Source organism: Homo sapiens, chromosome Y, assembly GCF_000001405.40.
Source record: "Homo sapiens chromosome Y, GRCh38.p14 Primary Assembly".
In the NCBI taxonomy this organism is placed as follows: domain Eukaryota; kingdom Metazoa; phylum Chordata; class Mammalia; order Primates; family Hominidae; genus Homo; species Homo sapiens.
This window is the reverse complement of record NC_000024.10, coordinates 8,670,667-8,696,688: the sequence shown is the minus strand read 5'-3', so window position 1 is coordinate 8,696,688 and position 26,022 is coordinate 8,670,667. Positions and strand designations below refer to the sequence as shown.

General features: G+C 45.4%; 2 long non-coding RNA genes across 2 annotated transcripts; both read left to right on the top strand.

Moving 5' to 3' along the window:
* Positions 1-1,390: 1,390 nt before the first annotated feature.
* LOC105377234 (uncharacterized) lies at positions 1,391-2,812 on the top strand. Its single transcript, XR_938652.2, has 3 exons — positions 1,391-1,582; positions 2,164-2,241; positions 2,726-2,812. It is a non-coding gene; the product is annotated as an uncharacterized LOC105377234 (long non-coding RNA).
* Positions 2,813-12,810: 9,998 nt separating this feature from the next.
* On the top strand, positions 12,811-13,319 carry TTTY18 (testis expressed transcript, Y-linked 18). The gene is made up of 2 exons (NR_001550.1): positions 12,811-12,968; positions 13,257-13,319. It is a non-coding gene; the product is annotated as a testis expressed transcript, Y-linked 18 (long non-coding RNA).
* The last annotated feature ends 12,703 nt before the right edge of the window (positions 13,320-26,022 follow it).

The window sequence follows — 26,022 nt, the reverse complement described above, 5'->3', positions numbered from 1 at the left end:
CAGTGAGCCTGGGAATCTTTTGCTGACATCTGCCTCTGGGGTCTCAAGTATGATTCTGTCACCCAAAGAACCCTAAACAACACACTGTGCTATATTCCAACCCCCATGGTACCCGATTATCACACACGCACTCTTTTGAGAATCAAGTCAGGAAAACAGTTTCCAGGGACAACCTCAAAATCTTGAAAATCTTCTTCCTCCAGGGAGACCCAACGACATCAGATCCTGCCTCACAAATGCGCATGCGATTGTCCCAGGGCACTAAGCTTGATTGTGAGCTCTGCATAGCGTCACAATTAATGTCCTTGTTGCCCAGAGCCAAGTCCCTGCGTTTTGGAAAAGAAGGATACCTCCGCTGAGGTGCTTCGGCAGTAGACTCCTGCCTGTCTTCTCTGTGGGAAAGTTGGGGTAGTCCCATAATCCCAAGAGGGCAGACATAAGTCAGCGTGCAGAAATGTCAAGCACACCCCCAGGAATAAATCGAGAAATGGTTAAGTATACTAAAAAGCTTGCAGAATTTCTCAGGCCTGTCTAGGCATTGTAAGGGTGAGTCTTTTTGAAATTTGACCCACTCTGATTTCTACGTACAGCCCGCCTGTGTTCCCTAGGGTGGCTCTCTCCCAGGTTGGGGTTTCCTACAGAAACATGTAGCCCCAGGTATTGCCGGGCTATGTTTCTGTGGGAGTGGTGCAAGTGTTGGATTTCTGCGTGTGTGTGTGTAATTGTGTGTGTGTGCGGCATTGTGTGTGTGTGCCTGTAAGTGGCGTCTGCTTAAATAAATGTGGCTAATACACTTCATCTCTAATTTTTTTTTCTTGAGTCACCAACTTTTAGGTGGCCTGTCTGTGTGGCTCTGCTAGGGTCTGTGGGGCTCCGTGTTCTCTCTTTTTCTGTAGATCATGAATGTGCAGTGAATTGGGAGGCGGGCTGAGACCTACCTGTGTTTAAATCACCTGCCTCTGCAAAAAAAAAAAAAAAAAAAAAGCCACTCTTCTAGAAAGAAGAGGAGCACACCACAGCAAAAAAAACAGACATCTTCCAGTGTTTCACTGTCCTTCAGCCAAAACAGGGAGAGACATTAGCAGTCCTGTCCACAGGGCTTCTTGAATTTATGTCAAATTTGTTCCTAGCTAAGCTGATGCTTCACATTATGAGGGGGCACTCCATCATTTTGGGATTTCATCCTGGTACATAGAATGTGATCAGCAACAAAGTTAGTTAGGGGTGAGAATAAAATCTAGTGAGGGGTGTATGTAGTCTTACAACTTCATCTGCAAAAAAAATGAAGACAGATCACAGGACACCAGGCCTGATTATGAGCTCTGGGTAGTGTCACAATTAATGTCATTGTTCCCTAACGCCAAGTCTCTGCAGATTGCTGGAGAAGGAGACCTCCAAGGAGGTGCATTGGCTGTGGATTCTCACTTTGTGGGATCCATGGGATAGTCCCATGATCCCAAGAGAGAGCAGTCATGAGCCAGCCTGAAGATACATCAAGCAGAATCCCAGGATTGAACCACAAAATCCCTAAGGATACAAAAAAATCTGCGGGGTTTCTCAGGTCTGCCTAGGCATTGTAGATGTGAGTATTCTTGAAACATTCCCCACTCTGCTTTCTAGTTACCACAAACCCTTGTTCTCCAGGTTTGGTCTCTCCCAAGTGGGTCTACCACAGAACCACAAAGCCTCAGGAGATGTCAGGATTTGGGTTCCTGTGGCAGTGTTGAGATTGTTGCATGTCTGCATGTGTGTATGTCATTATGTGTTTGTTTGTGTGTGTGTGTGTGTGTGCCTCTAAGTGAAGTATGCTTATGCTTAAAGGAATACAGCTTACTCACTTCAGCACATTTTTTTTTTTTTTTTTGAGTCTCAAACCTTTTATTGCCCTGTCTGTGTGGCTCTGCTTTGGCTGTGTGGCTTTGTGTTCCTTATTTTTATGTGCATGTTGAATCTGCAGTGAAGTGGGAGGTGGGCCAAGAATGTCCGGCATCCAAATCACCTCCCACTGCAAAAAAGCCACTCTTCTAAAAAGAAGAGGAGCACACCAATTAACAGATGTCTTCCAGGGTTTCATTGTCCTGTGGCCAAACCAGAAAGAGACACTAGTAGTCCTGTCTGCAGGGCTTCTTGAATTTAACTCCAATTCGGTTTCCACCCAAGCAGGCACTTAACATCTCTAGGAGGAACACCTGCATCATCTTGGGATTTCATCCTGTGACAAGGAGTGTCAGCAGCAATAAGGTCAGATAGTGGTGAAGATACAAACTGATGAAGGGTGGATGGGGTCCCACAACTTTACTAGAAAAAAAAATGAAGACAGTTGATATAGAAGGTGCTTCCAACTCCATCCCCACATTCCCTTAATTGCACAAGCATTCCACACCATTGCCCATTGTTCAGGAGGGAGTACTCTAAAGTGTGAGAAATATTTGGAGTGCAAATTGGGGCTATCTTTGCAAACTGCCAATTTCAGTGGGGAGTAGAATGGATTAATGCTTGTTGGGATGTGGGTTCTTGACTTGCCTCTTCCTTTTGTGATTTCCATGTTCCATGTCAGCCCAGGGTTTTCTGATTCTGGCTCAATTACTTTCACATGAAAAGTTTCCCAGTACACGGAGAATGGCACTCATGGGAATTCATTGCTTGAGTGTTTCCTTCTAAACACTATCACGTTTTAATGGCTGGACAGCTTTGATACTTTTAAAACCATAAATTTTCATTACAGCCTCCAACAAGGAAACTCCTGTTCTCCCAATTCTATTGGAAGGCTGCATGATTCCTGTAGCATGAGAAGAAGGCCGTCATGTCTGGCTTCTTACTGGTAATCTAGCCACTGTTTCATTTCAACTGCACAGCCTTCTTTTTGTGGAGGGGTATGAAATCCCTAAGGATACAAAGGGACCTTCAGGATTCCCCAGGCCTGCCTGATGGGTGAGTCTTTTTGAAAGTTGCCCCTCTGTGATTTCTAGGTACATCCCCACTGTGTTCCCCGAGTTTACTCTCTCACAGGTGGGGCTTTCTGCAAAACCACACAGACTCAAGAGCTATCTGGCTGTGTGTTTCTGGGGGAGTGTTGTAAGTGTTAAATGTCTGTATGTGTGTGTGTGTGTGGCATTATGTGTTTGTGTGTGTGTGCATGCCTGTAAGTGGAGCTGGCTTAAAGAAATGTGGCTAACGCACTTCAACACTTCTTTTTCATGTGTCTACCAATTTTTTTGTAACCTATCTGTGTGGCTCTGCTTGGGCTGTGGGGCTCTGTTTTTTTTATTTTTCTGTGGATTATGAATACGCAGTGAATTGGAAGGCTTGCAGAGACTCGTTGGAGTCCATATCAACTCCTACTGCAAAAAAAAGAAAAAAAGAAAAAAATTTACTCTTCTATAAAGAAGAGGAGAACACCACATCAAAAAATGGACATCTCCCTGTTTTTCTTTGTCCTGAGTCCAGCCCAGAGAGAGATACCGGCAGTCCTGTCCACAGGTTCCCTTGAATTTAACTCGAAATCGGTTCCCAGCCAAGCAGGTGCTTCGCATCATGAGGTGGCATTTCTCCACTGTCTTGGAATTTTATTCTGGCATATAAAGTGTGAGCAGCAATAATGTCAGATAGGGGTTAGCATACAATCTGATGAGGAATGGATGAGTTCCCACAACTCCACCTGCAGAAAAAATAAACACAGATTACACAGAAAGTGCTTCCAACTCCATTCCTTCATTCCCTGAATTGCACAAGCAGTCCACACTATGACTGTGGGTTCAGGTGGTAGTACTCTAATGTGCAAAACACATTTGGATTTCAAATTGAGGACATCCTAGCCCACTATCAATTTGAGGGTTTTCATTCCTTGATCCAAATGGGAGTGGAATTGATTGATGCTGGGTGGGCTCTGACCTCCATCCACACTTGCCTCTTTTTTTTCCTAAATCCCATGTTCCACATTGGCCTAGGGTTTCCTGAGTCTGGCTCAATGACTTCCACACTAAACATTTCCTAGTTCACAAAGAACGAACCTGATGGGAATCCATTGAGTTAGTGTTTCCTTCTAAACAGTGTCAGGTCTTAATGACTGGGCAGTTTCATATTTTTAAAACTGTAAATTCCCATTACAACTGCCAATAGAAAAAATCTTGTTCTCCCACTTCTATCAAAAACCTGCATGATTCCTGTAGAATGAGAATCAGAAAGCTGTGTCTGGCTTTTGCCTGGTAATCTACCCTATGTTTCATTTTATCTGCATGGTCTTCACATTGTAAAAGAGCTCTTTCATTGTGCTATTGCTGGATAGTACAGCCTGTCACCACAAATTATTAAGCTGCCAGGGATTTCAGAAAGCAAAAGTTACTTCAGGTAGGCTGACTGTGCTCCATGTTGTGGGTTGTCTCGTTTTAGGGACTGAGGTTGTTTGCACTTTGCAGTAGGGTTTTGGGTCCTCTAACAGGAATCATTGAATATTGCAAAAACTCAAGCACAAATCAGCTTGTTCTCTCAGGCTAGCCTTGATTTTTCTTTGCTTTCAAGAGGAATCCACAGTACCCCTCGACAGCACTACTGGACAGTTTTTTCAGGCTTACCATCACCACAGATGGCCTCTGAGACACTGTCTCAACCATATCCACACCAGACAGAAGCCAGTCCAAAGTGTGAGAACACTGCTTCATTTTGAGCTTGCCTTTTTCCTGGTTCCTCCTGTTTTTCCCAGAAAGCCCCTGCAAGGCCCAGGATGAAGGGTGGCAGTGAGGTCAACAGCTAGGCAATCGTTCACTTACACCCACCTCTGGAATCTAAGGTATGTTTCTATCACTTAAAGAACCCTCAACAACACATAAGACTATGTTGCCATTCCCATGGGGCATAATTCCTGCACACAGCCTCTTTCAGAAACAGAATCAGAAGAGCAGATTCCAGCGACAACCTGACAGTCTCAAAACAACTAGTTCTCCAGTGGTATTCCACAACGGAGAAGGCATTAAGGAGATCTGAGGTCTAGACTTTTAGGGTCCTGCAGTGGGTTTTCACAGGCAGATTTTTCCCAATATGAGGCTGGCTTCACCTGTACCATTGTTCTCTGTTTAGGCAGGTTGACAGCTCTGACAGTTGGGCACTGGAGCCTGCCTCTCAAATACACAGGCAGTAGTCTCAGGGCACCAGACCTGATTATGAGTTCTGGCTTGCATCACAATGAATGTCACCATTGCCTAGCAACAAGTCCCTTGGCGGAGAAGGAGACCTTGTGGAGGTGCTTCAGTGGTGGACTGTCAGCTGTCTTCTCTGTGGGATCCATGGGATAGTCCCATGATCCTAGTAGAGGGCAGACATTAACCAGCAGGAAGAAATCTCAAGCACAGCTGCACAAATAAACCATGAAATCCCTAAAAATTCAAAAGATTCTGCAGGATTCCTAAAATCTTCCTACACATTGTAAAGGTGAGTCTTTTTGGAACTTGCCCCACTGTGATTTCTAGATACAGCCTGCCTGTAACCTCCAAGGTTATCACAGGCAGCCTTTTTCCCAATAGCAGGCTGGCTCTTCCTGTACCAGTATTCTCTGCTTAAGCAGGCTTACAGCTCTGACAGCTGCATGCCCGATTTTCCCTCATGAATGACCATGCACAAATCTCAGGAATGTGGGATTTATGAACTAGTACCATGATCCTAGAATAGGGAAGGCATGAGCCAGCATGAAAAAACCTCAATTACAGTCCCAGGAATAAACCTTATTATACCTAAGAATCTCAAATTATCTGCATTATTTCTGAAGCCTGCCTGGAAATTGTAGGGGTAAATCTTTTTGAAGCTTGCCTATTGTGATTTCTAGGTACAGCCCACCAGTGATCCCTGGGGTTGCTCTATCCCAGGTGAGGCTTCCTGTAGAACCATGCAGCCTCAGGAGCAGCCAGGCTGTGTGTTTCTGTGAGAGAGTTGTAAGTGTTGAATGGCTGTGTGTGTGTGGCATTGTATTTGTGTGTGTGTACATGTGTTTGTGCCAGTAAGTGGAGTCTGCTTAAAAGAATGTGGCTAATGCAGTTTAGCAATTTTTTTTAAGTCTCCCAACCTTTTTGTGGACTGTCTGTGTAGCTTTTCTTGTGCTATGGGAATCCACATTCTTTATTTTTCTGTGGTTCATGAATCTGCAGTGAATTGGGAGGCTAGCTGGGACCAGACAACATCTAAATCACCTGGCCCTGCAAAAAAAAAAAAAGCCACTCTTCAAGAAAGAAGGGAAGGACACCACACCAAAAAAAAACAGACATCTCCCAGTGTTTTATTGTCTTGCAGTGAACCCAGGGATAGAAACTAGCAGTCTTGTCTGCAGGGCCGCTACAATTTACCTCAAATTCAGCTCCCTGAAGAGCAGGTACTTCAGGTCGTGAGGGTGCACTCCTCCATCATCTTGGGATTTGGTCTTGGGACATAGAATGTGAGCTGCAATAAGGTCAGTTAGGGGTGAGGATACAATCTGGTGAAGAGTGGATTGGGTCTCACAATTTCACCTGCAAAAATAAAAATAAAAAAAGATGACACAGAAGTTGTTTCCAAATCCATCCCTGCCTTCTCTTAATTACGCAAGCAGTCCATACCATGGGCCTGTGTTCAGGTGGCAGTACTCCAGTGTGCAAGGAACAGTTAGTGTGCAAATTGGGGACATGCTGGCAAACTCCCAATTTCAGGGCTTTGATACCCAAAGACAAATGGGAGTGCAACGGATAGATGCTGGGTGGTATATGGTACCCACACTTGCCTCTTGTTTTTCTGACTTCCATATTCCTCATTGGGCTAGGGTTTCCTGGATCTGGCTCAACGACTTCCACACTAAACGTTTCCTGGGTCACAAAGAATGACCCTCATGGGAATCAATTGCATGAGTGTTTTTTTCTAAACACTATCAGGTTTTAATGACTGTGCAGCTTTGATACTTTTAAAACCATAAATTCCCATTACTGCTGGCAACAAGGAAACTCTTGTTCTCCCATTTCCATCAGAGGGCTACATGATTCCTTTAGGATGAGAAGTAGGCAGCCTTGTCTAGCTTTTGCCTGGTAATCAAGTCTTTGTTTTATTTCATTTGTATGTACTTCTCATTGTGGAGGGGCTCTTTCATTTGACTGCTGATGGATAGGATGGCCTCTCAGCACAGATTATTTAGCTGCCAGTTATTTCAGAAAATAAAAGTGACTTTGGGAATGCTAACTGCACTCCTGTTTGTGGGTTGTTTTCTTGTTGTGGGGACTGAGGTTGTTTGCACTTTTCAGGAGGCTTTGCGGTCCTCTGACAGGAATCACTGAACATTACTTGGACTCCATGACAAGGCAGCTCATTCGCTCAGACAAGTCTTGATTTATCTCTGTTCTCATGGAGAATCCACAGTACCCCTCAACAGCACTACCGGACACTCTTTTCAGGCTTGCTATGGCTACAGATGGCCTCTGAGACAATATCTGAACCTCATCTCCAAACTCAAGTTGTCAGTCTGAGGTATGAGAACACTGTTCCACTTTGGACTTGCCTTTGTTGTGGCTCTTGCCTTTCCCACAGATCCCCTGCAAAGCCCACGATGAAGGGAGGCAGTGACGTTAAGAGACCAGGCGTCATTTGCTGACAATCACCTCTGTCATCTCAGGTATGATTCTATCACCCAAAGAACCCTCAACACACCAGACTATATTACAATCTTTATGGGATCCGATTCTACCACATAGCCTCTTTTGGGAATGGAGTCAGAAGAGCAGATTCCAGCGACCACCTCTCAGTCTCAAAACTCTTCCTCCTCCAGTGGGACCCGTCCACAGAGACAGCTTGAAGGGGACCTGAGTTTGAGACTTTTATGCTCTCACAGTGTGTTTGTGCAGGTAGCCTTTTACCAAACACCATGCTGGTTCTGCCTGTACCATTTTCCTCTGTTAAGGCAGGCTGACAGGTCTGACAGCCAGGTTTTCAAGCTTGTCTCACAAATGAGTGTGAGCTAGTATCAGGGCACCAGGCCTGATTGTGAGCTCTGGCTAGTCTCACAGTGAAGGTCACCGTTGCCTAGTGACAAGTCCCTTTGGCTTGGTGAAGGAGGAGACCTCCATTGAGATGTGTCAGCTGTGGACTCTCACCTGCCTTTTCTGTGGAATCCCTGGGTTAGCCTATTGATCCTAGGAGAAGGCAGATGTGAACCAACCTGAAGAAACATCAGGCACAGCCCCAGAAATAAACTACAAAATCCCTAAGGATTCCAAAGGGTCTACAGGATTACTCAGGCCTGCATAGGCATTACAGAATTTAGACTTTTTAAAACTTGCCCAGCTACTTGGGAGGCTGAGGCAGGAGAATGGCGTGAACCCGGGAGGCGGAGCTTGCAGTGAGCCGAGATCCCGCCACTGCACTCCAGCCTGGGCGACAGAGTGAGACTCCGTCTCAAAAAAAAAAAAAAAAACTTGCCCAGCCAGGAGTGGTGGCTCACACCTGTAATCCCAGCACTTTGGGAGGCCCAGGCTGGTGGATCATGAGGTCAGGAGATTGAGACCATCCTGGGTAACCCAGTGAAAACCCATCTCCACTAAAAATACAAAAAAATTAGCTGAGCCTCATGGCAGTTTCCTGTAGTTCGAGCTACTCGGGTGGCTGAGTCAGAAGAATGGTGTGAACCTGGGAGATGGAGCTTGCAGTCAGCTGACATAGTGACAATGCACTCCAGCCTGGGTGACAGAGCAAGAATCCGTCTCAAAAACAAAACAAAACAAAACAAAACAAAACAAAACAAAACAAAAAAAACTTGCCCAACTATGATTTTCAGTTACAGCCCGACTATGTTCCCTGGGGTTGCTATCTCCCAAGTGTGGCTTTCCGCAGAACAACACAGTATCAAAATCTCTCAGGGTGTGTGTTTCTGTGGGAGTGTTGTGAGTGCTGAATGTCTGCATGTGTGTGGCATTGTGTATTTGCGTGTGTTTGTGTGTGGATGTGTTCATGTAGGTGAAATCTGCAAAAGGGATTTGGCTAACACACTTCAGCACTTCTTTTTTTTTGAGTCTCATAACCTTTTGGTGACCTCACTGCATGGCTCTGCTTGGGCTGAAAGGCTCCGTGTTTTCTATTCTTCTGTGGATCATGAATCAGCAATGAATTTGGAGGCAGGTTTAGACCCAATGATGTCCAAATCACCTCCCTCAGCCAAAAACAAAAACAAAAACAAAAACAAAAAAACACTCTTCTAGAAATAAGAGGAGGACACCACACCAAAAAAGAGACATCTCCCAGTGTTTCATTTTCCAGAAGCCAACCCACTAAGAGACAGTAGAAATCCTGTCCACATTGCCCCTTGAATTTATCACGAATTCAGTTCCAGCCAAGCAGTTGCGTCACGTCGTGAAAAGGCACTCTTTCATCATCTTGGGATTTCATCTTGGGACATAGAGCTTGAGCAACAATAAGACAGATAAAGATGTGGATACAATCCGGTGAGGAGTGGATGGGGTCCCACAACTTCACCTGCAAAAAATAAAGACAGATGATACAAAAGGTGCTTCCAGCTCCATCCTTGCATTCCTTTAATTATACAAGCAGTCCACACCATGGCCAGGTGTTCAGGTTGGGGCACTCCTATGAGCAAGTATCATGTGGAGTGCAAATTGGGGTTCTACTGGCAAAATCCCCATTTGAGTACTTTCATACCCAAAGCCAAATGGGAGGGAAATGGAGTGATGCTGGGTGGGATATGGCCTCCACACTTTCCTCTTCTGTTCTTGACTGCGATCTTTTTCCTCGGCCTGTTTTCCTCATTCTTACTCAATGACTTCCACACTAAACATTTCACAGTTAATGAGGAACAACCCTCAGGAGAATCCATTGCATGAATATTTACTTCTAAACACTGTCACCTTTTCATGACTAGGGTTTGATATTTTTTAAATCGTAAATTCCAGCTACAGGTGCGAAATTAAAACTCGTCTTCTCCCCTTTTTATTACAGGGCTTCATGATTCCTGTGGGATGAGAAGCAGGCAGCTACTTCTGGCTATTGCCTGGTAATCTAGCCTCTGTTTCATTTCATCTACATGGGCTTCTTATTGTGGAGGGGCTGTTTATTTGGGCTGTTGCTGGATGGGACTGGTTTTGTTACAGATTATGTAGCTGCCAGGGATTTCAGAGAGCAAAAGGGACTTTGGGAAGTTTAGCTATGCTACAGATTGTGGGTCGTTGTCTCCTCGTGGGGATTGAGGGTGTTTGCACTTTGCAGGAGGCTTTTGGGTCCTCTAAGAGGAATCATTTAACATTGCTTATACTCCAGCACAAGGCAGCTCATTCTCTCAAGCAAGCCTTGATTTTCCTTTGCTTTCCCATTGAGGGTCCACAGTGCCCCTCAGCAGCACTACTGGACACCCTTTTCAGGCTTCCATCACCACAGGGGCCTCTGAGACACTTTAAACCTCATCTACACCCATGAGAAGCCAGTCTGAGTTGTGAAAACACTGCTCCACAATAGAACGTTAAATGTTTGCGTGTATGTTGTAGCATTGTGTTGAGGTGTGTTTGCGTGTGTGTATGTGCCTGAGACCACCTCTTGGGTCTCAGATATAATTCTAAAGACCACTCAACATCTCACCTGACTATATTCCAATCCCCATGGGATTCAATTCTTGCACAAAAACTTTTTCAGAAATGGAGTTAGAAGAACAGTTTCCAAAGACAAACTCAGTGTTATGAAATGGCTCTTCCTCCAGCGTGACCCTAACATGGCTATGGTGCATAAGGGCCCTAAGGTCAAGACTTTTAGGGACCTGAAGTGGGTTATCACAGGCAGTCTTTTTTCCCAATACAAGGCCAGCTCTGTCTGTACCATTTTCCTCTGCCTAAGAAGGCTGACAGTTCAGTCTGTCTCACTAATATGCATGTGGTAGTCTCATGACACCAGGCCCAAGCTGTGACCTGTGGCTAGCATCACAATGAATTTGACCTTTGCCTAGTGACAAGTCCCTGCACCTTGGTGGAGAAAGAGACCACTGTGGAAGTGCATCAGTGGTGGACTCGTCTTCTCTGTGTTATCCACCAGATAGTACCAGGATCCAAGGAGAGGGCAGATGTGAGCCAGCCTGAAGAGATATCAAGCAGAGCCCCAGAAATTGTGAAATTCCTAAGGGTCCAAAAGAATCTGCAGGATTCCTCATACTAGCCTAGTTGATGTAGGGGTGAGTCTTATTGAAACATGCCCCACTGTGATTTCTAGGTTCAGCCCTCCTGCTTTTCCTGGTGTTGCTCTCTTTCAGTTGGGGCTTCCTATAGAATGAGACAGCCTCAGAAGCTACCAGGCTGTGTATTTCTGTGGGAGTATTGTGAGTGTTGGATATCTGTGGGTGTGTGTGGCTGTGTGTGTGTGTGTTTCTGCCTCTAAGTTGTTTCTCCTTAAAGGAATGTGGCTAACACACTGCAGGGCTTTTTATTTTTTAGCGTCTTAACCTTTGGGTGGCCTGTCTGTGTGGCTGTACTTGGGCTGTGGGCTCTGTGGGCTCCCTGTTCTTTATGTTTCTGTGGGTCATGAATCCACAATGAACAGGTAGGCTAGTTGTGACCAGCCAGGGTCTCCATTATCTTCCCCTGCAAATAAAGGCACTCTTCTAGAAAGAAGAGTGGAATACAACACCCAGGAACAGACATCGTCTGGTGTTTCATTGCAATATGACCAATCCAGAGAGAGACACTAGCAGTCTTGTCCACATAGACCCTTGAATTTATCTCAAATTCGGTTTCCAGCTGAGCAGGTACTTCACATCATGAGCGGGCACTCCTCCATCATCTTTGGATTTCAAACTGGGAAAGAGATTGTGAGCTGCAATAAGGTCAAACAGGTGAAAATATAATTTGGTGAGGGGTTGATGGGGCCCTGTACCTTCACCAGCAAAAAAGGTTAAGACAGTGAAACAGAGGTGTTTTAAACTGCATCCCCACATTCTCTTAGTTGCACAAGCAGTCCACACCATGGCCCAGTGTTCAGGTGGGAATACTCCAACTTTCAGGAAATATTTGTAGTGCAAACTGGGGCACACTCCCTGTTTAAGGGCTTTAATACCAGAAGCCAAATGGGAGTGGGATGGGCTGATGCTTGGTGGGATGTGGCCTCCACACTTACCTCTTCTTTTCCTCACTTCCATGTCCCTCATTGGCATAGGGTTTCCTGTGTCTGGCTCAACATTTTCCACACTAAACATTTTCCTTTCACAGAAAATGATTCTCATGAAAATGCATTGTGTGAGTTTCCTTCTAAACACTGTCAAGTTTTAATAACAGCTTATGTGATAAATTTACAACCTTATTTCCATTACAGCCAACAACATGGAGACATTGTTCTCCCACTTCTATGGGAGGGATGCTTGATTCCCGTACTATGAGAAGCAGAAAGACGTGTCTGGCTTTCACTTGGAAAGGCTGTTTCCTTTCATTTGCATATCCTTTCTTATTTTAGAGAAGGTCTTTTATTGGACTGTTGTTGGATGGGCTACCTCTCACCACATATCTTTCTGATGCCATTGATTTCAGGAAGCAAAATTGACTTTGGTTAGGCTGGCTGTGCTCCAGATTTTGAACCATTGTCTTGTTGTGGGGGCTGAGATTGCTTACACTTTGCAGGAGGATTTTGGGTCCTTTTACAGGAATCTTTGAATGTTTCCTGGACTCCAGGACAAGTAAGCTCATTCTCTCAGGTGGGCCTTGATTTGTCTTTGCTTTCATGCTGGGTCCACATTCACCCTCAAAAACAACACTGGACCTTTCTAGGCTTGCAATCACCACAGATGACCTCTGAGAAAACTTATGATCATCATCTGTACCTGTGAGACCACAGTTTGATGTATGGCAACACTGCTCCACTTTGGACATGCCTTTGTCGTGGTTCCTGCCTTTCCCAGAGAGCCCCTCGGAGGCCCAAAATGAAGAGAGGCAATGAAGTCAAGGGCCCGGCTATCATTCACTGACACCCACTTTTGGGGATCTTAGGTATGATTCCATTACACAAAAACCCTTCAACAACTCACCAGACTATATTCCAATTCATATGGGACCCAACTCTGGCACACAGCCCCTTTAAGTAATGGAGTCAGAAGAGATGTGGTTAGCGAACACCTCACAGTATTGAAACACCTCCTCCTCCAGTCAGACCCAAAGACAGAAACATCCCGACGGGGCCCTAAGGTCAAGAATTTTAGCGTCCTGCAGTGGGTAATGGCAGGCAACATTTTTCACGATACCAGGCCGACTTAACCTTTATTGTTTTCCTCTTCTTAGGCAGGGTGACAGCTCTGAGAGCCAGGAGCCCGAGTCTGTCTCAAGAACTTGCACATGCCTGTCTCAGAGCACCAGGCCTGATTGTGAGCTCTGGCTAGCGTCACAGTGAATGTCATCATTGCCTAGCGACTGTTCCTCCGGCTTGGCAGAGAAGGAGACATTCATGAAGATGTGTCGGCAGTGGACTCTCAGTTGTCTTCTCTGTGGGATTCTCGGTATAGTCCCATGAACCTAGAAGAGGGCAGACTTCGACCAGCCTGAAAAAAACTTCTAGCACAGACCAAGGAATAAACAATGAAATCCCTAAGGATCCAGAAGAGTCTGCCGGATTCCTCAGGCCTGCCTAAACTTTGTAGGGGAGAGTCTTTTTGAAACTTGCCTCACTGAGATTTTGAGGTGTTGCCCACCTGTGTTTCCCATGGTGGCTCTCTCCCTTGTGGGACTTCCTGCAGAACAACACAGCCTCAGAAGCTACTGGGCTCTGTGTTTTGGGGGCAGTGTTGCAAGTGTTGGATGTCTGCTTCTGTGTGTGGCAGTGTGTCTTTGTGTGTGTGTGTGTGCCTGTAAGTGGAGTCTGCTTAACATTTTGTGGCTACCTCATTCCAGTGCTTCTTTTTTTTTTTTTTTTTAAAGTCTCCCAACCTTTTGGTGGCCAGTCTATGTTGCTGTGCTTGGGTTGCAGGACTCCATATTCTTTAATTTTCTGTGGATCATGAATTCAAACTGAATTGGGAGGTAGGCAGAGATGAGCCAGCGTCCAAATCACCTTTCCCTGCAAAAAAACTACTCTTCTTAAAATAAATAAATAAATAAATAAGGAGCACACTACTTCAAAAGAATAGACATCTATTAGCGTTTCATTGTTCTGAGGACAACAAATGGAGAGACATTAGCCATTCTGTCTGCCAGGCCCCATGTATTTACCTCAAATTTGGTTCCCAGCTGAGTTGGTGCTTCAGATCATGACTTGGCCCTCCTCCATTGTCTTGGGGTTTCACCCTGGGACATACAGTGTAAGCTACAGCAAGGTGAGGTAGGAGTGTAAATACAATCTGATGAGGGGTGGATGGTGTCCTGAAACTTCCCCTGCAAAGAAAAATAAAGACAGATGACACAGAAGGTGCATCCAGCTTCTTCCCTGAGTTACCTTAATTGAACAAGTATTCCACAGCATGGCCCAGTGTTTAAGTGGAAATACTCCAATGTGCAAGAAACATTTGGAGTGAAAATTGCGAACATCCTGGCAAAAACCCTATTTGAGGGCTTTTATACCTGGAGCCAATGGGAGGGAAATGGATTCATGCTTCTTGGGATGTGGCCTCCAAACTTGCCTCTTCTTTTCTGGACTTCCATGTTCCTCATCGTCCTAGGATTTCCTGGGTCTGGATCAATGTTTTCAACACTAAACATTTTCCAGTTCACAGAGAACGACCCTCATGAAAAGCAATTGTGTGAGTGTTTCCTTCTATCCACTGTAACATATTAATGACTGGACAGCTTTTATACTTTTAAAACCGTAAATTCCTGTTACAGCCAACAACAAGGAAGCTCTAGTTCTACTCTATCAGAGAAAGGGTGGCTGCGTGATATCTGTAGCATGAGAAGCAGGCAGCCGTGTCTGACTTTTTACTGGTAATCTAGCTTTTGTTTCATTTTGTCCACACTGCCTTTTCTTTGTAAAGGAGGTCTTTCATTAGACTGCTGCTGGGTGGCAGGGTCTCTCACCACACATTATTTAGCTGCCATGGGTTTCAGAGAGCAGTAGGGATTTCAGGTATGCTGGCTGCACTCCAGGTTGTGGCTTGTGGTCTCGTTGTGGGGGCTGAGGTTGATAGGATTTTGCAGGAGGCTTTTGGGTCCTGTGACAGCAATCATTGAACATTGTTTGACTCTAGCACAAGGCAGCTCATTCCTCAGGTGAGTCTTGATTTTTATTTTCTGTCATGGGGAATCCACAGAGCCCCTCAACAGCACTACTGGACACACTTTTCAGGCTTGCCATCACCACCAGTGGCACCTCAGACACTGTCTCATCCTCATCTGCACCCGTGAGAGGCCAGTCCAAGGTTTGAGAACACTGCTCAAACTTGGACTTGCCTTTGTCATGGTTACTGCCTTTCCCATAGAGCCCTGCGAGGTGCAGGATGAAGTGAGACAGGGAAGTCAAGAACATTGTGTGTTTGTATGTGTAAGTGTGTTTGTGTGTGTTTGAATGTAAAAGGCTTCTGCTTAAAGGAATGTGGCTAACACCCTTCAGCACTTCATTTTTCTTAGCCTTGCAACATTTTGGTGGCCTGTCAGTGTGGCTCTGCATGGCCTGCAGGGGGCCGTTTTCTTTATTTTTCTGTGGATCATGAATCCACAGTGAATTCAGAGGCATGCCAAAATGTGCCAGCACCCAAATCACCCTTGTGTGCCAAAAAAAAAAAAAAAAAAAAAAACTCAGTGTTTCATTGTTTTGCAGCCAATCTAGAGAAAGACATTAGCAGTCCTGTCAACAGGGCCCATTGAATTTACCTCACATTATGTTACCAGTTGATCAAGTGCTTCACATCATGAGGGGCACTCCTCCATCATCTTGGGATTTCATCCTGTGACATGCAGTGTGAACACAATAAGGTCAGATACAGGTGAGGATAGTATCTGCTGAGGGTTGAATGGGGTCCCACAACTTCACCTGCAAAAAAAATGAAGACAAATGACACAGAATGTTCTCCCAGTTAATTCCCCATGTTTCCTTAATTGCACAAGCAGTCCACACCACGGGCCAGTGTTTGTGTGGGAGTACTCCAACATGCAAGGAGCACTGGAAAAAGAAATTGGGGCCATCCTGGTGAACTCCCTATTTTTGGTGGTTTATACCCAGAGCCAGATGGGAGTGGAATAGATTGATCCCTGGTGGGATGTGACCTCTACACTTGACTCTTCCTTTCCTGATTTCCATGTTTCTCACTGGCCTAGGGTTTCCTTGGTCTGGCTCAATGACTTCTACACTAAACATTTCCCATTTCACAGAGAATGACACTCATTGGCAACCATTGAGCGACTGTTTTCTTCTAAACATTCTCACGTTTTAATGACCGGGAAGCTTTGAAACTTTCTAAACTGTAAATTCTCATTACAGTGACCAACAAGAGAACTCTTGTTCTCCCACTTTTATCAAAGGGCTGCATGATTCCTGTCCGATGAGAAGCAGGCATCCATGTCTGGCCTTTGCCTGGTAATCTACCCTCTGTTTCATTTCATCTGCATGTCCTCCTCATTTTGGAGTGGCTTTTTTATTGGGCTGTTGCTGGATGGGACTGCCTTTGGCCACAGCTTATTTAGCTAACTGCAATTGAATAGAGAAAAAGTGACTTTGGGTAGGATGGCTGTGCTTCAGGTTGTAGGTCATTGTCTCATTGTGGGGGCTGAGGATGTTTGCATTTTAAGGAGGCTTTTGTCTTCTCTGACAGAAATCATTGAACATTGTTTGGACTCCAGCAAAAGGCAGCTCATTCTCTCAGTGAGCCTAGATTTTTTATTTATCTATTTTACTTATTTATTTCTTTTGCTTTCATGGGGAACCCAGTGTCCCATAACAGCACTACTGGACACCATTTTCAGGCTTGCCATTGGCACAGACAGACTCCAATACACTGTCTCAACCTCATATGCACCTGAAAGAGGCCAATCCGAGGTGTGATAACACTGCTTCAACTTTGACTTGCCTTTGTCATGGTTTCTGCCTTTCCCAGAGATACCCTGCAAGGCCAAGGATGAAGGGAGGCAGTGAGGTCAGGAGTCAGGCCATCATTCGCTGACACCTGCCTCTGTTTTCAGTATAATTCTATCACCCAAAGAAGGCTGAACAACACAACAGACTGTGTTCCACTTTCCTTGAGATCTGATTCTTGCACACAGCTTCTTTTGGGAATGGAGTCAGAAGAGCAGTTTCTAGCGATGACCTCAAAGTCACTAAACTCCTTTTTCTCCAGCAGAACCCAAAAACGGAGATGGCTTGGAGGGTCCCTGAGGTTGGGAGATCTTGGGTTTCACAGTGGGTTTTACAAGCATCCTTTTTCCCATGTCATCGGGTCTCTGCCTATACCAATATTCTCTTCTTAGGCAGGCTGATAGTTCTGACAACCAGGCACACGAGTCTGCCTCATGAATGCACACCAGGCCTGATTTTGAGCTCTGGCTATTGTCACCACGAATGTCACCATTGCCTAGCAACAAGTTTCTGTGGCTTGGCAGAGAAAAAGTCCTCTGTGGAAGTGTATTGGTGTTGGGCTCCCACCCATCTTCTCTGTGGGATCCATGGGATAATCCCATGATCCTAGGAGAGAACAGACATGAGCCAGCCTAAAGAAACATCAAGCGGAGCCCCAGGAATAAACCATGACATCCCTAAAAATCCAAAAGGATCTACAGGATTTCTGAGGCTGCCTAGAAGTTGTAGGGGTGAGTCTTTTTGAAGCTTGCTCCACTGTGATGTCTGGGAGCATTTTGTTTTCCATCTTTTTTGTTCCAGTGTTGCTGTCTTTCATGTGGGGTTTCCTGTACAGCCTCAGGAGCTGCCAGGCTGTGTGTTTCTGTGAGAGTGTTGTAAGTGTTTGATGGCTGCATGCTTATGTGGTATTGGGTGTTTGTCTGTCCCTGTAAGTAAAGTCTGCTTAAAGGAATATGGCTAGCGCCCTTCAGAACTTCTTTTTATTTGAATAACAAAACCATTTTATGGCACATCTGTGTGGCTCTGGTCAGTTCTGGGGCTCCATGTTCTTTATTTTTATGTAAATCTTAAATCCGCAGTGAATTTGAAGGTGGATCAAGACAGGCCAGCATCCAAATCACCTTTCCTTGGAAAACAAAAACAAAAACAAAAACAAAAAACTACTCTTCTATAAAGAAAGGGAACACACCACACCAAAAAACAGACATCTCCCAGTGTTTCCCTGTCCTGAGGGCAAACCAGGGAGAGACACTAGCAGTCTTGCCCACAGTACCCCTTGAATTTACCTCAAATTCAGTTTCGAGCCAAGCAGGTTCTCCACATCATGAAGGGACACTCCTCCATTGTCTTGGAATTTCATCCTGGAACATAGAGTGTGAGAGGCAATAAGGTTAGATAAGGATGAGAATACAATCTACTGAGGGGTGGATGGGGTCCTGCAACTTCACCTGCAAAAGAAATGAAGACAGATGACACAGGAGGTGTTTCCAACTCCATCCCCTTATTCCATTAATTGCACAAGCAGCTCACACCACCTCCCACTCTTCAGGTAGGAGTATCCAATGTGAAAGGACCATTTGTATTACAAATTGGGACCATCCTGGCAAACACCCAGTTTGAGCACTTTCATACCTGTAGCCAAATGGGAGTGGAATAGATTGATGCTGGTTGGGATGTGGCCTCTATACTTGATTCTTCTTTTGCTGACTTCCATGTTCCTTGTCGGCATAGGGTTTTCTGAGTCTGGCTCAAAGACTTCCACATTAAATGTTTCCCAGGTCATGAAGAAAGATCCTCATGAGAATTCATTGCCTGAGGGTTTTCTTCTAAACTCTTTCACAATTTAATGACTGGGCAGCTTTGATGCTTTTAAAACTGTGAATTCTTGTTACCGCTGCCAAAAAGGGAACTCTTGTTCTCCAACTTCTATTGGAGCGCTGCATGATTCCTGTAAGATGAGAAGCAGGCAGACATTTCTGGCTTTTTCCTTGTAATCTAACCTTGGTTTCATTTTATATGCACAGCATTCTCATTGTGGAGCTCTTTCATTGGGCTGTTGCTGGATGGGAGTGCCTCTTTCCACAGATTATTTAGCTGCCAGGGATTTCAGAGAGCCAAAAAGAGTTAAGATAGGCTGGCTGTGCTCCAGGTTGTGTGTCGTTGTCTCATTGTGGATGCTGAGGATGTTAGCACTCTGAAGGAAGCTTTTGTGTCATCTGACAGGAATCATTGAACACTGACTGGACTCCAGCACAATGCAGCTCGTTTTCACTGTCTGAATTTCGTCTGCACCCATGAAAAGCAAGTCAGAGGTGTGAGAAGACTGCTTCACCTTGGACTTGCCTTTGTTGTGTTTTGTGTTTTTTCTAGAGAGCCACTGCAAGGCCCAGGATGAAGAGAGACAGTGAGAAGATCCCAACCATTTATCACTGACACCGGCATCTGTGGTCTCAGGTATGATTCTATCACCCAAAGAGCCCTGAAAAACTCACCAGATTATATTCCATTCCTTATGGGATTCAATTCTTATGCACAACCACTTTCTGGAATGTAGTCAGAAAAGCAGTTTCCATTGGCCAACTCACAGTCTCGAAACACCCTTTTCATCAATGCTGTCCGACCACGAAGATGGCTGGAAGCGGCCCTGAGGTCAAGATTTGTAGGGTCTCGCAGTGGGTATTCTCAGGTAGCCTGCTTTCCAATACCAGGCTGACTCTGCCTGTATGATTCTTTTTCTGCTTAGGCAGGCTGACAGCACTGATAGCACAGTGCTGTCATGGTGAATGTCACCGTTGACTTGTGGCAATTCCCTGTGGCTTGGCAAAGAAGGAGACCTCCATGGATGAGCATTGGCCATGGACTGTCACCTCTCTTTTCTGTGGGATCCACTAGATATTCCCATGAATTTAAAAGTGAGCAGACATGAGCCAGCCTGAAGAAAAGTCAAGCAGAGCCCCAGGAATAAACCGCGAAATTCCCAAGGATTCAAAAAGATCTGAAGAATTCCACAGGCCTGTCAAGACATTGTAGGGCTGAGTCTTTTGAATCTTGCTCCACTGTGATTTCTAGGTACAACCCATCTGTATTCCCCAAGGTTCCTCTCCCAAGTGGAGCTTCCAGCAGAAACACACAGCCTATGGAGCTACTGAGCTGTGTATTTCAGTGGGAGTGTTGTGAGTGTTGTATTTCTGTGTGTATGTTTGGCACTGTATGTGTGTATGCATGTGGGAGTCTCTGTGTGTGTGTGTCTTTTAGTGGTGTCTGCTTAAAAGAATGTGGCTACGACACTTCAGTGCTTCTTTTTTTTTGTTTTCATCTCACAACCCTTTTGTGGCCTGTGTGGGTCTGCTTGAGATGTGGGGCTCTGTGTTCTTTATTTTTCTGTGGATCATGAATCCACAGTGAATTGGGAGGCAAGCCAAGACCTGCCAACATCCAAATCACCTCCCCTTCAAAAAAAGCACTCTTCTAAAAGAAGAGGAGCACACCACACCAAAAAACAGACATCTTCCAGTGCTTCATTATCCAACCCAAAGAGAGACACTATCAGACTTGTTCACAAGTTCCTTGATTTTTACCTCAAATTTGGTCCCAGCCAAGGAGGTGCTTCATGTCCTTAAGTGGCACCCCTCCATGGTCATGGGATTTTATCCTGGGACATCGAGTGTGAGGAGAAATAAAGTCAGTTAGGGCTGATCATCCTATCTGGTGAGGGGTGGATGGGGACCCACAATTAAGAGGCCCTCTGTGGCCATTGCCAGTGTATAAAGTCTGTACAGTAATGTGTTGAGGGGAATTGTAGACCCCACATGAAAGCAACAAAAACTCAAAAGTTTCCTGAGAGAATGAGCTGATTTGTGCTGGAATCATAGCAACATTCAAAGATTCTTTTCAGCAAACCCAAAAGCCACCTACAAAGTTCAAACAACCTCAGCTATCACATCAATACGATGATCCACAACCTGGAGTGCAGCCAGACTACCCATAATCTATTTTGCTCCCTGAAATACCTGGCAGCCAAAAGATCTGTGGAGGGGGCAGTCCCATTTAGCAACAGCCCAATGAAATACCACCTCCATAATGAGAAATGACATGCAGATGAAATGAAACAGGGCCTAGAGTACCAGGCAAAATCCTGACATGGCTTCCTGGTTGTTTTCTTACAGGAATCATGCAGCCTTCTGATAGATGTGGGAGAATAAGAGTTTCCTTGTTGGCAGCTTTAATGAGAATTTACAGTTTTAAAACATCACAGGTTCCCAGTCATTGAAAGAAATGCGACAGTGTTTAGGAGGAAACACTCAGGCAATGGACTCCCATGAGGGTAGTCCTTCATGAACTGGGAAACGTTTAGCATGGAAGACATGGAGCCAGACCCAGAGAAAGCTAGGTCAATGAGCAACATGAAAGACAGGAAAGGAAAAGGCAAGTGTGAAGGCCACATTTCACCCAGCATCAATCCATCCCACTCCCATTTAGCCCCGGGTTTGAAAGCCCTCATACAGAAGTTTGCCAGGTTAACCCCAGTTTGCACTCCAAGTATTCCCTGCACATTGTAATACTCCCACATAAACCCCGGGGCATGATTTGACTGCATGTGCAATTAAGGAAATGTGGGGATGGAGTTGGAAGCACGTTCTGTGTCATATATCTTCAGATTTTTGCAGGTGAAGGTGGGACAGCATCCACCCCTCATCAGATTGTATCCTTACTCCTATCTGAACTCATTGCTGCTTGCATTCTCTACCGTAGAATGAAATCCCAAAATGATGCAGGAGTGCCCCCTCGTGACTTGAAGCACCTGCTCAGCTGGAAACTGAATTTCAGGTAAACTCAAGAGTCCCTGTGGACAGGACTGCAAGTGCCTCTCCTTGGCTTGGCTGCAAGACAAAAACATTGACAAATATCTGTTTTTGTGTGTGTGTCATGTGCTCCTCTTCTTTCTATAAGAGTGGCTTCTTTATACAAGGGGTGCTGATTTGGAACCTGGTGGGTTTCAACCAGCCCCTCGATTCACTGAGATTCATGAAAACGGAAGAACACGGAACATGGGAGCCTAAGCAGAGCCACACAGATGGGCCAACAAAAGGTTGGATGACTAAAAAACAAAGAAGCTCTGTAGAGGGTTAGCCTCATTTCTTTAAGTAGACTGCACTTACAGGCACACACACACATACACACACACCAAACTACACACACAGACATTGAACACCCACCACACTCTCACAGAAACACAGCCCAGCAGCTTCTGAGGCTGAGTTGTTCTGCAGGAATTCCCACCTGGGAGAGGGCAAGCTCAGGGGACATAGGCTACTGTACCTAGGAATCACAGTGTGGCAAGATTCATAAAGACTCACCTCTACAACATCTAGGCAGGCCTGCAGATAATTTGGATCTTTAGGGGTTTCACAGTTTATACCTGGTGCACTGTTTAACGTTTCTTCCAGCTGGCTCACCTAGGCCATTTCCTAGGATTTTAGGTATATCATGTGAATCAAACCAAGAAGACAGGTGAGTGCCAACCGACAACGCAACTCCACAGAAGTGTCCTTTTCTGCCAAGTCGCAGGGACTTGTCTCTAGGCAACGGTGCTATTCATATTGTTGCTAGCCAGAGCTCACAGCTAAAAGTTAGTGCTTTAAGACTAGCGCATGCGCACTCGTGAGGCAGGCTCGGGCGCCGGGTTGTCAGGGCTGTCATCCTGCCTAAGCAAAGAAAAATGGTACAGGCATAGCCGGCCTGGCACCAGGAAAAATGTTGCTTGCAATAACTTATAGCAGGACTCTAAAATTCTCGACCTCACAGATCCTTCCAGCGGTCCCTGCAGTCGGGTCCAGTGGAGAAGGAGGCATTTCAGGACTGTGAAGTGATTGCTGGAAACCGCTCTTCTAACTCCATTCCAGAAAGAGTCTGTGTGCAAGAATCTGGCCCCATGGGGATTGGAATATAATCTGGTGAGTTGTTGAAGGGTCGTTGGGTGACGGAAACATACCTGAGACACCAGAGACAGGTGTCAGCAAAACTTGGCCGGGCACTTGACCTCACTGCCTCCACCTTGCTCCTTGCATGGGCTCTCTGGGAAAGGCAGAAACCATAACAAATGCAATTCCAATGTGGAGCAGTGATCTCACATCTCAAACAGGCCTCTCACGGGTGCAGATGAGGTTGAGACAGTGTCTTAGAGGGCATCTGTGGTGTTGTAAGCCTGAAAAGTGTGTCCAGTAGTAATGTTGAGGGGCACTGTGGACCCTCAATGAAAACACAGAAAAATCAATGATCACCTGAGAGAGCAAGCTGACTTGTCCTGCAGTCCAAGCAACGTTAAAATATTCTTGTCTGAGGACACAAAAGCATCCTGCAAAGTGCTAACATTCTCAGCCACCAAAATGACACTATGACAATCTGGAGTGCAGACAGCCCACATGAAGTCTTTTTTGCTCCCTGAAATCCCTGGCAGCCAGAAGATCTGTGGTGAGAAACAGTTCCATCCAGCAACAGCCCAATTGAAGAGGCCCTCCACAATGAGAAAGGACACTCAAATGTAATGAAACAGAGCCTAGATTATGAGGTAAAAGCCAGAAATGGCTGCCAGATTCTCACCCAACAGGAATCATGCAGCCCTCCAATAGAAGTGGAAGGAGAAGTGTTTCTTTGTTGGTGGATGCAACAGGAATTCATAGTTTTAAAATTATCGCAGCTGCCCAGTAATTAAAACAGGACACTGTTTAGAAAGAAAAACTCAAGCAATGGATTGCCATGAGGGTCGTCCTCTGTGAACTGAAAAATGTTTAGTTTGAAAGAGGTGGAGCCAGACAAAGGAAACCCTAGGCTGACAAGGAACATGGAAGTCAGGAAAAGAAGAGACAAGTGTAGAAGCCACATCCCACCCAGCATTGATTCATGCTATTCTCATCTGGCTCTGGGTGTAAAAGCCCTCAAATCAGCAGTTTGCCAAAATGGCCCCAGTTTGCACTCCAAACGTTTCTTGCACGTTGCAGTACTCCCTCCTAAACAACTGGCCATGGTGTGGACTGCTTGTGCAATTGAGGGAATGTGGGGTTGCATTTGGAAGCAGCTTCTGTGTCATCTGTCCTCACCTTTTTTGCAGGTGAAGATGTGGGACCCCATACACCCCTCACCAGATAATATCTTCACCCCATCTGACTTTATTGCTGCTCACACTCTCTGATGTAGAATGATATCTCAAGACAATGAAGGAGTGCCACCTCAGGATGTCAAGCACCTTCTCAGATTGGAAGCCGACTCCAGGAAAATTCAAGGGCCCTGCAAAAAGGACTGCTACTGTCTCTCTCTTGGTTGGCCATAGGACAATGAAAGAGTGGGAAATGTTTTGGGGTGTGGTTTGCTGCTCTTCTTTCTTGAAGAGTGGCTTTTATTTATTTATTTATTTATTTTGGAGGGGGCAGTTTCTCAGCCAGCCTCCCAATTAACTGTGGATTCATGATCCACAGAAAAATAAAGAACACGGAGCACCACAGCCCAAGAAGAGCCTCGCAGACAGGACACAAATATTGGGAGATTAAAAAAAAATAAAATAAAAGGAAGCCCTGAAGTTCATTAGCCACATTCCTTTAAGGAGACTCCACTTACAGGCACACACACACACACACACAAACACACACACTCTTAAACACACAAAGCCACACACAAACACAATCAACACTCACAACACTCCCACAGAAACACAGCGCAGCAGCTTCTGAGGCTTTGTGGTTCCACAGGAAGCCCCATTTGGGAAACAGCAACCATGGGGAACACAGGTGGGCTGTGCCTAGAAATCATAATGGGGCAAGTTTGTAAAGGACTCACCCCTACAACATCTAAGCAGGCCTGAGGCATCCTGTGGGTCTTTTGGATCCTTAGGGATTTGTGGTTCATTAATTGGGATTAGATTGACTTTTTTCAGGCTGGCTCACATCTGCCCTCTCCTAGACTCATGGGAATATCCAGTGGATCCCACAGAAAAGACAGGTGAGAGTCCACCATGGATGCACTTCAGTGGTGGTCTCTTTCCACCCCAAGTAGCAAGAACTTGTTGCTAGTAAACAGTGGCATTCATTCTGACACTAGCTCACAGCTCAGACCTGGTGCCCTAAGATAAGTCCATGCACATAACTAAGACAGTCTGGGGTGCCTGCCTGTCAGAGCTGTCAGCCTGTCTGAGGAGAAGAAAATGGTAGAGGCAGAGCTGGCCTGGTATCAGGAAAAGACTGCCTATGATAAAACAAAGAAGGTCCCTAAAAGTCTCAATATTAGGGTCAGTTTGAGCTGTCTGTATGGTCAGGTTCCACTGGAGGTGGAGGTGTTTCATGACTGTGTGGTAATAGCTGAAAACTGCTATTCTGACTCCATTCCCAAAAGAAGGTGCATGAAAGAATCATGTCCCATGGGGACTGGAATATAGTCTGGTGAACTGTTGAGGGGTCGTTGGATGATGGAACCAGACCTGAGACCCCAAAGGCAGGTGTCAGGAAAGATGGCTGGGCTCTTGATGTTGCTGCCTCCCTTCAACCTAGGCCTTGCAGGGGCTATATAGGAAAGGCAGGAACCACGACAAAGGCAATTCCAAGGTGAAGCAATGTTCTCTCCCCTCAAATTGGCCTCTGACATGTGCAGATGAGGTTGAGACATTGTCTCAAAGGCTGTCTGTTGTAATTGCAAGCCTGAAAATTGTATCCAGTAGTGCTGTTGATGGGCACTGTGGAACACCATTGAAAGCAAAGAAAAACCAAGAATTGCCTGAGAGAATGACCTGACTTGTGCTGGATTCCAAGCCACATTCAAAGATTCTTGTTAGAGTACTGAAAACCCTCCTGGCAAAAGCAAACAAACTAAGCACCCACAACAAGACAGTGACCCACAGCCTGAACACTACAAGAATCCCTGAAGTCCCTATTGCTCCCTGAAATCCCTGGCAACCAAAAGATCAGTGGTGACAGGCAATACTATCCTGCAACAGCCCAATGAAAGACTCCCTACACAATAAGAAAAAACATCCAGATGTAATGAAACAGACCGTAGATTGCCAGG